The sequence below is a fragment of the Homo sapiens genome, chromosome 3 (assembly GCF_000001405.40).
Source record: "Homo sapiens chromosome 3, GRCh38.p14 Primary Assembly".
Classification (NCBI taxonomy): Eukaryota; Metazoa; Chordata; class Mammalia; order Primates; family Hominidae; genus Homo; species Homo sapiens.
The window spans coordinates 9,117,895-9,130,306 of record NC_000003.12 but is presented as its reverse complement, the minus strand read 5'-3'; the positions used below and the strand labels follow the sequence as shown (position 1 = coordinate 9,130,306).

General features: G+C 46.6%; 1 protein-coding gene and 1 long non-coding RNA gene across 15 annotated transcripts in view; one reads left to right on the top strand and one right to left on the bottom strand.

Annotated features, from left to right (window-relative positions):
• The window catches only part of SRGAP3 (SLIT-ROBO Rho GTPase activating protein 3), a 382,437-nt gene that overhangs the window by 232,721 nt on the left and 137,304 nt on the right, over positions 1–12,412 (top strand). For all 14 annotated transcript variants that reach the window (XM_024453843.2, XM_047449335.1, XM_047449333.1 and 11 more), the window contains one exon: positions 5,390–5,582. Coding sequence is in view for 13 of the 14 variants with exons in the window: in XM_047449335.1 (XP_047305291.1) it covers positions 5,390–5,582 (193 nt within the window). In the remaining variant the exon portion in view is untranslated. The remainder of the gene's footprint in view (positions 1–5,389; positions 5,583–12,412) is intronic.
• On the bottom strand, positions 3,323–6,076 carry LOC124909343 (uncharacterized). The gene is made up of 2 exons (XR_007095815.1): positions 5,374–6,076; positions 3,323–4,064 (listed from the first exon to the last, which is right to left on the bottom strand). It is a non-coding gene; the product is annotated as an uncharacterized LOC124909343 (long non-coding RNA).

Sequence of the window (12,412 nt, the reverse complement as noted above, 5' to 3'; positions counted from 1 at the left end):
CTTGGATGAGTCCCTGATCTTGGTTTACGTAAAGCCTTGGTTTCTTCATTATTATACATCCACGTTGAATGTATGTATGTGTGGGGGGTGAGTGGTGTTGTGTGTGGTATGTGTTGTGTGTTTTGTATGTATTTGTGGCGTGAATGTGTGTGCCATATGTTTGTTTGTGTGTGTGTGAGCTGAGGCTTCCATAATCACAACACTTAATGTACTTGGTAAAAAGCGCTTGCTAAAGGGAAATAGTAGGCTGGGCGTGGTGGCTCATGCTTGTAATCCCAGCACTTTGGGAGGCCGAGGTGGGCAGATCACCTGAGGTCGGGAGTTCGACACCAGCCTGGCTAACATGGTAAAACCCTGTCTCTACTAAAAATACAAAAATTATTCAGGTGTGGTGGCCGGTGCCTATAATCCCAGCTACTTGGGAGGCTGAAGAAGGACAATCCCTTGAACCTGGGAGATGGAGGTTGCAGTGAGTTGAGATGGCGCCACTGCACTCCAGCCTGGGCGACAGAGCAAGACTCTGTCTCAAAAAAAAAAAAGGGAAATAGTAATTTGCTATACAGATATTGATATCCTGATGACCTATTATGTGCTGGGAGAATCTGCCCTCAGAGCTTAAATTTCATTTGAGGAGATGAGGCAGAGATGGCATGCATGAAAGAATGAAAACTAACAAACAAAAAAACCCAAACAGCGCTAGGCAATCTGAGATTTGCTGTACGTGCCATGGGAGTTCAAAAGAGGGTCACCAGGCTGGCAGCCCAGGCCTTCCTGGGAGGAGCAGTGCTTTATGTGGGCTCTGAAGCAGTGGTTTTCAACTTTTTTTTTTTTTTTTTTTGCTTACCTACCCTCTACATGAACTTTGGAAAGAAAAATATCTCTTCTGCTTCACACATTTTAAGTTGACATCTAAAATGTCTCATTCTTTAATTTGCACTAAATAAAATAAAATATTTTATTCTAAGTTTGATTAGTTACAAAGGATATAATTTTGGCCATGTTTTAAATATTCACATTTTAGAGTAACATTATGTATAATACCACTCTCTTAAAACTGTATCAAAATGTTGTGGGGAGGGATGGGTGGGGTGGCTTACCTCTTTAGTCCCAGCTACTTAGAAGGCCAAGGCAGGAGGATTGCTTGAGCCCAAGAGTTGAAGACCAGCCTGGGTAACATAAAGAGGCCTGTCTCTACAAAAAATTTTTAAAAATGTGTCAAATAGAAACTAACATAGCAATTTTAAATTTTGTCTTTTTATTGAAGCCTCACTTTGATGTAGTAGAATGCACAGATCTTAAGTGAGCAGCTCAGTTAATTTTTATCAGTGTCCCTTCCACCCTCACCAAGGTGTGGAACATCTCCAGTATTCAGAAGCCATGCTTGTTCCCTCTCTCCATCAATACCCGTCAAACGTGACCACTTTTCCGACCTCTATCACCATAAACTAGTTTTGCACAACCTCATTCGTTCTGGCTTCTTTCAATAAACACAAGATCTGTGGATTTCAAACATGTTGCTGTTGGGAGCAGTAGCATTCCTTTTTCATTATTGTATATCATTCCACTCAATGAATATCTCACATTCAAAAAATCCATTCTATTCTTACTAGACATTTTGGGTTATTTCTAATATTTGGCTATAAAGATACTAAAAGTATTCTTGTATATATTTTTTGGTGATCATAAGCACTGATTTCTTTTGTGTATGTATCCATCAGTGAAATTGCCCGGTCATAGGATAAATACCATAATACATTGGTTTCTACAATCATCCATCAAAGTTACCTGAACAAGTCAAATGTTTTACACTGCTCCTTTCTTTACCTTCTTGAACTCCTAATTCCCTTTCACTTGCTTCATAAAATTTAATCTTAACATATTTTATGCTTGAAAGTTTTTTAAGATTATCATCTTTTTTAAAACTCTACTTATGTAAGCTGAAATGGACATTTTAATTTTTTCCTTTGAACTCTAAGGATCTTCCTTTTATATTGATTTATGTATCATTGCAGTGATCAGTAATACACAATTTATCAAAATAACATTATTTTACACATTTGATAAATCATTAAAGCATAACTTTGTATGGGAAATGCTTCTCATAATGAGATGGGCGGGATGGTTGATGGCAGTGCTTATCAAACTTTAAGGTGTACAAGGGCCACCTTGGGAGATCTTGATAAAATGCAGATTCTGATTTGGATGGTATGGGCTGGGGCCTGAGACTTTATTCTGAATTTTTTTTTTTTAGCTTTTTTAAGGTATAATTGAAATGCCCCAAAAATGAGCACATTTAATTTATGCATCTTGATGAGTTTGGATGATTCTGTATTTCTTCTCCTTCCCCTCCCCTCCCCTCCCCTCCTCTCTCCTCACCTGTTCTTTTCTTTTCTTTTCTTTTCATTACAGGAGTTCCCTCTAAGCATCATGGTATGGTCATGGCTCACTGAAGCTTTGAACTCCTGGGCTAAAGCAATCCTCCCACCTCAGCCTCCCAAGTAGCTGGGACTAGAGGCATGTGCCACCATGCCCAGCTAATTACTTTTTAAAATTTTTACTAGGCCGGGTGCAGTGGCTCACACCTGTAATCCCAGCACTTTGGGAGGCCAAGGCGGGTGGATCACGAGGTCAAGAGATCAAGACCATCCTGGCCAACATAATGAAACCTCGTCTCTACTAAAAATACAAAAAACTAGCTGGGTGTGGTGGTGCGCACCTGTCGTCCCAGCTACTCTAGAGACCGAGGCAGGAGGATCGCTTGAACCCAGGAGGCGGAGGTTGCAGTGAGTGGAGATCGGGCCGCTGCACTCCAGCCTGGCGACAGAGCGAGACTCCGTCTCAAAACACAAAACAAACAATAAAATTTTACTAGGCATGAGGTCTTGTTATATTGCCTAGGCCTCTGTATTTCTAACAAGCCCATTGGTGGTGCTGATGCTGCTGGTCTGTGGACCACATTTTAATGTTTTTGAGACAGAGTCTTGCTTTGTCATATAGGCTGGAGTGCAGTTTCACAATCATAGCTCACTGCAGCCTGGACCTCCTGGGCTCAAGCAATACTTCTGCCTCAGCCTCCTGAGTAGCTGGGAACACAAGCCCATGCCACCACACCTGGCTAATTTAAAACTTTTTTTTTTTTTAAGTTTTTATGGAGACGAGGTCTCCCTATGTTTCCCAGGCTGGTCTTGAGCCCCTGGCCTCAAGTGATTCTCCTGCCTCAGCCTCTCAAAGTGCTGTGATGACAGACGTGGTCTCATGGACCACACTTTGAGTAGCAAGGGTTTGTGATCCCTTGATTAGAGGAAGATTTCCAAATATCAACTTTTTAAAAACACTTTTTATTATTTGAAGAGAATATAACTTTGTACATGTATTTATTTACGTATAAATTTATGGAGTACAAGTGTAATTTTGTTACATGCATAGATTGTGTGGTGGTGAAGCCAGGGCTTCTTGGGTACCCATGACACAAATAATGTACATTACACCCATTAAGTAATTTCTCATTATCCACCTCCCTCCCACCCCCTCACCCTTCTGAGTCTCTGTTCTCTAGCATTCCACACTGTACATCCAAGTGCACACATTATTTAGGTCCCACTTATAACTGAGAACATGTGTAACATGAACATTTTACATTATTTATTTATTTATTTATTTAGTTAGTTAGTTAGTTAGTTAGTTAGTTTTTGAGACAGGGTCTTGCTCTGTCGCCCAGGCTGGAGTGCAATGGCGTGCAACCTCCACCTTCTGGGTTCAAGTGATTCTCCTGCCCCAGCCTCCAGAGTAGCTGGGACTCCAGGCGCCTGCCACTATGCCTGGCTAATTTTTGTATTTTTAGTAGAGACAGGGTTTCACTGTGTCAGCCAGGATGGTCTCCACCTCCTGACCTCGTGATCCACCCGCCTCGGCCTCCCAAAGTGCTGGGATTAAAGGCATGAGCCACCATGCCTGGCCAACATGAACATTTTAAATGGTCTATTTTTCCTTTTGACACCCAGATGTCTCGACATTTTGGGACACTGCATCATAGATTCTGGACGAGTGAGCAGTTGCTCTTTTTCCTGTAAAGAGAGAACAGGACCATTGTGAGGAGGGGAGGTAGGAAAGGAGAGGGGCCGTGCATCTAGACTGAGGCACGTTGTCAGGCAGTGGGAATGGATGTGGAGGATCTCAGGTTGATTCCCTTCTACCTCAGCTTGCATACCCTGTGGGGTGTCTTTGTGTACCCCAGAGTAGTTCTGCCCCAGTTTGAAGTCCACTTCTCTGAAGGATGCTGAAATGACGCTGGCCACCATTTCAGACGGGGCACACATTTAGGCAGGTGAGATCTGATATTCCAAGGACTGGCTTGAATGGTTTGGAGAGTCCATTGGGGTAAAGTCCTGAGAAATGAAATTTGGGACTGCTTGGTGGATGGTCTTGAATGTCATGCTGAGGAGTTGGACCTAATACTCAGGCAGAGGGGAGCCGTGGGGTATTTCTGAGCACGTTGCTGGTGTGAGCAGAGTGCTTTGGAGGCTGATCTGTTGAGCAGCTCTTGGGATGGCCTGGAAAGAATCTATGCCTGGGGGCAGTGGCGGTGACAACCCTACAGGCTTGAAGACAAGAATGGATGTGGTTATTGGCATTCAGCTGTGATTTTTAACTCCAGCTTCCAGCTTTTGAATTGTTGCCCTGGTTGCGTAGATCTGGTTTGAGCAATCAGTATTTTCTGAAGTGTGATATCTGAGAGGTTCATACATGGAATTCAAGGTGATTTAAAGCAGGACACAGATGTGGCCTTAAATAACACTGAAACCCACGAGGGAAAAGCATGCCCTTCTCAGCCCTCTCTCAGTCCTGACTACACATGGAGAAAGTCACACTGCCGTTTTCCTTTGGTTGATAAAGAGCCAGCAGCTTAGGCTTAGAGCCTTTGGTAAACAATTGTCTCTAGATAGAATTTTACAATACTTTTGTTTTCATTGAATTATTTCCTACGTCCCAGGCTGCAAGGGGTCCTAGTGTTTCACTTTACTGTATTGATAGAAACCTTTGCATTTTAAGCAAGATCATCTCCGTAAGAAAGGTGAGTCAATTTACTAGATCATGTGGAAGAAATAAGAATGCTTGGGGCCTGTGAATATGGCAAAAATCGTGGTGGTGACATGCAGTGATTCAAGTTTTGGAAACTTTTGGTTAGATCAATGGCAAAAACGAGCAAGAGAGAAATCTTTGTGCCAATGCTCTGCCAAGCAAGGTCTGAGCTCTGGCTGGGCTCAGAGAGGCTCTGGATGGTGTTAGGAGGGAGCTGCCTGAATTGCAGGGCCCAGGCCAGCAGCAGAGCGGGCCCCAGTGCCCCCGTCCCCACCACCAGTCTCATGCTCCTACCCTTGTGTGCCCGCAGAGATCCGCACGCAGCTGGTGGAGCAGTTCAAATGTCTGGAGCAGCAATCAGAGTCGCGACTGCAGCTGCTTCAAGACCTCCAGGAGTTTTTCCGCCGGAAAGCTGAGATTGAGCTCGAGTACTCCCGCAGCCTGGAGAAGCTGGCTGAGCGCTTCTCCTCCAAAATCCGCAGCTCCCGGGAGCACCAGTTCAAGTAAGAAGTTGGGTATGGGTGCACAGAGATGGGAGGCAGCACTGGGGTGGGCGGACAGTTGGTGGCAAAGCAGAAAGGAGGCCAGCCAGCTTCATTGGAGGCAGAGGGTGTGCCTTCAGGGCCCTGGCTCTGCAGGTTACTTACACCTCCAAGCCTCAGTCTTCCTCATGTGTAAAGGGAAGCTAGAAAGAGTTCCTCTGCAGAAGTTTCCTGAAGGGAATAAATGAACAACCCAAGAAGAGTGTTTGTCACAGACAATAGGTGCTCAATCAATTGTTGCTGTTATTATTATGCTACCAAGCACCGGCACTGAGCTAGCCTCCATTTGTGCCCTGGTGAGACCCCTACCTCCCTTCAGGACATCCTGTCCCGATCCAGTTGTCCTTTATTTGGGTGTCAGCCAGCCTTCTTCTGAATTTTGTTAGCTCAGTGAATTTCTTCTCCATGGAATTGATGCTCAAACATTCCTCTTCCTTGCTCTCCTGGAGGACCTCAGTGCCCCGGCTCTTTCCCTGCCTTATTTACTTATTTTCGATGCACAAACTGTCATGTGTCCTGATTTCTCATATCCCAAGCTCTGAGATCATGGAGGCTCCATCTGCTTGGGCATTGACTTGGCAGGTCCTGAATCCTCCAGCTACAAAACCTTCTGTGCTTAGAACTCCCTGGCTTCAGCTCATTAAATACAGGCAGGCAGGAAGCAGCAAATCTCACTTGGACTGTGTCAACCATGCAGGGCTCCACTTGGCAGGTCCCCCGGCCAGCACTGTCTCTCCTTCAGCCATGCTTCCTGGACTCTCCCTTCTCCTTGGGTCATCTCTCCAGCTGGTGGCCCTCAACACCAGGAGATCAGCGACTTGCTTTATCTCACCTGACCTGATCCTGATCCCCCTTCCCCTGGGTCCTGTCCTGTTTCTCTCTCTCTCTCTCTCTCTCTGTGTATACACACACATACATATATACACACATACACACACACACACACACACACATATATACATATATATATATATATATTTTGAGACAGAGTCTCACTCTGTCACCCAGGTTGGAGTGCAGTGGCATGATCTCAGCTCACTGCAATCTCCAACTCCCGGGTTCAAGAGATTCTCCTGCCTCAGCCTCCTGAGTAGCTGAGATTCCACGTGCACCACCACGCCCAACTAATCTTTGTATTTTTAGTAGAGATGGGGTTTCACCATGTTGGCCAGGCTGGTCTTGAACTCCTGACATCAAGTGATCCACCTGCTTCAGCCTCCCAAAGTGCTGGGATTACAGATGTGAGCCACCATACCCGGCCTCTCCATGTATGTGTATGTATGTGTATTGTGTATGTATATATATATATATATTTTTTAATTGTGACAAAGCACACATAATATAAAATTTACCATTTTCATCATTTTTAAATGAACAGTTCAGTGGCACTAAACACATTCACAATGTTATGCAACCATCGCCACCATCCAACTCCAGTGCTTTTTACATCTTCCTCCACTGAAATTCTATCCCCATTAAACACTAACTCCCCATTCCCTGCCACGCCTTCCAGCTGCCGGCAACTACCATTCTACTTTATGTCTTTATGAATTCGACTGCTGTAGATATGTCATATAAGTGCAATTATACAATATTTGTCTCTTTGTGACTGGCTAGTTTCACTTAGCATAATGCCTCAAAGTTCATCCCTGTGGTAGCATGTGTCAGAATGTTCTTCCTTTTTCAGGCTGAATAATATGGTGCAGATAGACCACATTTTGTTTGTTTGGTCATCTGTTGGTGGACACTTGGGTCGCGTCCACCTTCCTGTCCACATTTTTTGCATTCCACTCTGGCCAGGGAGCTCTCTGCCTTTAAACTCCTCTAAACACTTCCTTGAGTCTGTGCCACAGCATTTGAACACTCACTTATGTGCCTTCTCTTGGCATTTGGGGATAAGAAATTGGTGCATTACACATTTGCAAATACCGTGCTTCTTTTTCTACCCTATCTTCTCCCTTTTTTTTTTTTTTTTTTGAGACGGAGTCTTGCTCTGCCACCCAGGCTGGAATGCAGTGGTGCGATCTCGGCTCACTGCAAGCTCCGCCTCCCAGGTTCAAGCAATTCTCCTGCCTCAGCCTCCCAAGTAGCTGGGACTACAGGTGCCCGCCACGATGCCCAGCTAATTTTTTGTATTTTTAGTAGAGACGGGGTTTCACCATGTTAGCCAGGATGGTCTCCATCTCCTGACCTCATGATCCGCCCGCCTCGGCCTCCCAAAGTGCTGGGATTAAAGGTGTGAGCCACCGCGCCCAGCCACCCAGTCTCTTCTCTTCAAACTTCTGCTGCAGGAGGAAGCCTCTATTAATAACATTCACTCAGGCACAGTCTAGACCCTTTCACACATATAATCTCATATTTTTTTGGAGAAAAATTGTGTTTTTTCAAACAACAAAGGTAAAATGCTCATTGTATACAATTTAGAAAGTACAGAAAAGAGAAAAATATCATTCATAGTCCCACTGCTCACAACCACTGCTCACATTTTGGAATCATTTCTCCCTTGTCTTTTAAGAATAAAAACAAAGATAATGTATCGAACCGAGCACTTACTTTGGTGCCAGGTGGGTATTACTACCCCATCGTAAAGATGAGGATGGTGAAGCTCTGAGAAAGCAGCTTGTCCAAACATGTCTGTGAACCCGCAATTGGAAAGAGACAGAATTGAACCTTTGTCTCTTCTCTGCCTCCTTGGCCTGGGATAAGAAAGGGCCTAGGTGCAGCTTGAGAGTAGCCATGACATCTGGACCCTCCCTGGAACCACAGGCACAGCAGACATAGGCTCAGAACCCCACAACTCTGGCTGAATGGCCACTGGAGCCAGCAAGTCTTGGGCTCTCCCTAGCTGCAGACAGGGCCATGTGGTAGGGCTGGAGCATCTCTCCTGTCCGCTCCTTCCCCTTGATTAGGAATCAGCTCTCTTCCCATTCTCAGTGTGCACATAGGGAGAGGAGAAAGGCAGGGATTGTGGATATGGGGGGGCACCCTATTCCCTTGTATCACCTATAATGAGCTCGGCCAGCCCCTCATGGGTTCATTAACTGAGGCCACCAGACGGAACGGGAGCCCCAGCTGGCAGCCCGGCCATGCAGGCTGCCTGACGCACTATGAAAGTCTAATTAGGGTGCCGGCCCAGGCCAGTGCAGCTGGAGGGGGCCCTCTGCACGATGCTAATGTGATGGCAGAGCCGTCTCCGCTTCTGGAAGTGGAGTCTCTAGGGGCAGGCTGGACTCACCCTTTGACCCCAGGGCACTGACTGGCCTCGGGCTGCCTATTCCTTGGAGCCCAGCACACAGGACCTGTGTTGCTCTCTGCTCCCTTCATCTGGGCTGTTCCGAGAAGCCTTGTCTCACCGTCGTAAAGATTCTTGGTTTAATAATGTCCATCTACCTGCCAAGTAGCCCCTCAGTGCCTTAAGGGCAGAGCCCAGGACTTGTCATTTTATTCCCATTGCAGTGGGTCAGGTGCTTGGCAGAGCTGGGGTGCGTGTGCATGGGTGGGAGGGAGGAAGGAGGGAAGAAGACAGGAAGGAAGGAAGGGAGAGGATTGACTTGGTCTATCTAGTCCACTTTGGCTGAGAGATTTGCCTCAGAGATGGAACTGATTTGCCCAAGATTTTACAGTAAATTAGGAGCAGAACTGGGATGGAGACTCAGTTCCCTTGGCTCCGAGTCTATTGCTCCTCCTTGTGCTCCATGGGCCGTGTCTCCCTAAGGCCCCAGCCATTCCCTCCCCACCTGGGCAATTGAAGAATGTGCTGCTGCCCAGGAATACGCACTGTGCTGTGTTCAGGGCTAGACTCACCTGGGCTGAGTTCCCTGTGACACGTGATCCAAAGAAAGGCCCACGTGATGGTTCTGAAGGTTTCCCTGGGACAGGTTAACATTTAGAGAAAAATATCATCATATTTCTTTTCTACAACACATATCCAATTCTAACAAACCTCTTTCAAAGCACTCTGACATCCTTGCTCTCTTATAAACCTGATGACAACCCAGGGAAGTGGAGAGGGAATCAGTGGTTTTATGTCAAGCAAACTGAGCAACAGAAAAGCTGAGCTGCTTACTTTAACGAGGACCCAATGAGCTGTCGAGCATGAAAACCCAGGGTTCTTGACTTCCAACTCAGGCTTCTCTCTCCAAGAAGCCATGTGGGACTTCATTTGTTTGAAATGTGTGCATTGAAGACCTCATATTTTCCTGGACTGTGCTCAGTGCCGAAGACACAAAGATAAATGAGGTGCGATTTCTGCTGCCAGATACTGAGAGACAAGAACATGGCTTGGGGAGGCCTGGTAGTTGGTATGGCTGAGGAGGCCCCAATCCCATGGCTGTGCCCTTTGAGCCCTGCACCTGCGTGCCATCAGCCTGCAGCACTGAGATGTCACTTCTATTGAAAAGCTTCCTTGATTCCCACCTGGTGCCTCCCTCTGTGTGCCCGTCGTACTCTGATGTACTTATTTGCTTATTCCACCAATATTTATTGAGCACCTACCATGTGCCAGACCCTGGGTTTACAGTGGTGAACAAGATAGACTTGGTTCCTGCTGTGGTGAAATTTACCATGAAGAATAAAACATTAAAAAGCAGCTAAAAGAAAGACCAGCTATAATCCAATGATTGCTATGATGGAAATAAATACACTATGGAGTATTCTGATTATCTCTCCCGTATAACTGCAATGCCCCCAAAGTTAGTGTACCTTGTGATTTAATGGATCAAAGATTTGGACAGGGCTCAGCTGGGTGATTTTTCTGCTGTATGTGGCATTGATGGCTCAGTGATATTCAGCTAGCAGAGGGCCTGGTCTGGACAGTCCCAGAGAGCTTTACTCGCATGCCTGGTTCCTCCATGGGGACGGCTAGTAGGCCGGGCCCTGCTGGGCTGTCTCCCTCTCCATGTAGTGTCAGGGCCTCCTGCTTCAGCCGGGCATCAGACTTCTGACAGTAGCTCGGGGCTTCTAGAGAGCAGGACAGCAGCTGCAGTCCTCTTAACTGCTAGGCCTGGAGCTGGAATAGCATCACTCCCCACCCAGATGCTATTTGCCAAAGCTGTCTCAGCCCTAGCTCAGCTTCAGGAAAGGGGAAATAAAGCCCTCCTATCATTGGAGGAGTGTCAAAGGGTTGGCAGCCCACACCAAGCTAGGACCACGATCAGGAAGGTGTCTGGAGGAAGCGTGGTTTAAGCTGAGGCCTGAGAAATGAGAAGGAGCAACGTGCAGCAGTGGAGGGGGATGGAAGCCAAGTGGCTGGAACTGGTGAGTGTGGGAGTGGGAAGAAGGGAGTTGCATGATGTGATTTATATGTTTAAAAGACCACCTGGGTTGGAGGGTGGAGCCGAGGAGCCCACTCATGGGCATGTGGGTATAGCTCTCCAGGCAGGGACAGTGATGGCCTGGGTGGGAACAGAGCAGATGAGAGAAGCCATCAGATGCCAGGAAACCTCTCAGAGAGGAATGGAGGAAAAGAGAGGCAACAAGGATGTCTCCTGTTTCTGCCTTGAGATGGGAAGGACTTGGGGAAGAGGGTGAGGTAAGAGCTACAGCCCTGTATTGTCATCGTCTGTTTACTTGTCTGTCCTCCTTTGGACAACCACTGGGCTGCAAGCTCCGAGATGGCAGAGAGGGTGACTCTTGACCCGGGGTCCCTAGCACCTCTCACAGGGCTGGCACCTGGTTGTTACTGAATGTCATTGATTAATGAACTAATGAATGAAAGGCAAGTGATAATTAGATTTGCATAGGGAGGACAGGGAAAGGGGGCATGTTTGTCTTCTGGCTGCCTTAGCTCAGTGAGGCCATCTGGGTGAAGTGTCACTCGCTCATGTGCCTGTCACGGGTCCTGTATTGCTGAAAGGACAGAGTGTGGACTGTGCCATGGTCTCCCTGTTTGGGGAATGGGAGCAGCGGCATTGGCATCACATGAGGACCTGCTAGAAATGCAAGATCTGGGGTATTTCCTGAGACCTGCTGGATCAGAACTTCTTGGGGGGGGGGCCTGGCAATCTGCATTTAACAAGCCCCCTGGGGGAGTCTGTTGGCAGTTCACTTTGAAGAGCCAGTCTGATGTTTTTCTGGGGAATAAATGGTTTTCAACTCACTTTTGGGCTGTGCTGGCCTTCCCTCCTCTTCACCAGCGTCAAATCCATAATCCACTGCCCTCTCCAAGCTAGGCCTAACCTGAGTTTGGCTTTTCCTTTGGAAGGCCTGGAGCTGAGCCCTTCCTGAGCAGGACTCTGGTGTAGCAGGCAGCACATATGGGGCCCCCAAACCTGCCTCTTGGGGTAGGTGGATGGTCTTGTCCAAATGAATTTGGCAGCTCCATGAACACAGATGTTTCCTGGGAATGAGACTTTTTCTTCCTCCAGGAAAATGTCTCTAAAACACCAATACTTTGAGATGTTTGAATGGGAGAGAGAGAGAGGAAGAGGAGGAGGAGAAGGAGGATACGAAAGACTGATTTTTGTAATAATTAAGCCTGTTGACTTCTTTCTGAAAGCTATTTGACCACAGGATTCCCTCTCCCTATTTATTTATTTACATATTTACTTATTTTTGAGACAGAGTCTCACCCTGTCGCCCAAGCTGGAATGTAGTGGTGTGATCACAGCTCACTGCAGTCTCAAACTTCTGGGCTCAAGTGATCCTCCTGCCTCAGCCTCCCAAGTAACCGGGACTACAGGTACATGCCACCACATCTGAAATTTAAAAAAAAAAATGAATTATTTTTTTGTAGAGGCAGGGGTCTTGCTATGTTGTCCAGGCTGGACTTAAACTTCTGGACTCAAGCAATT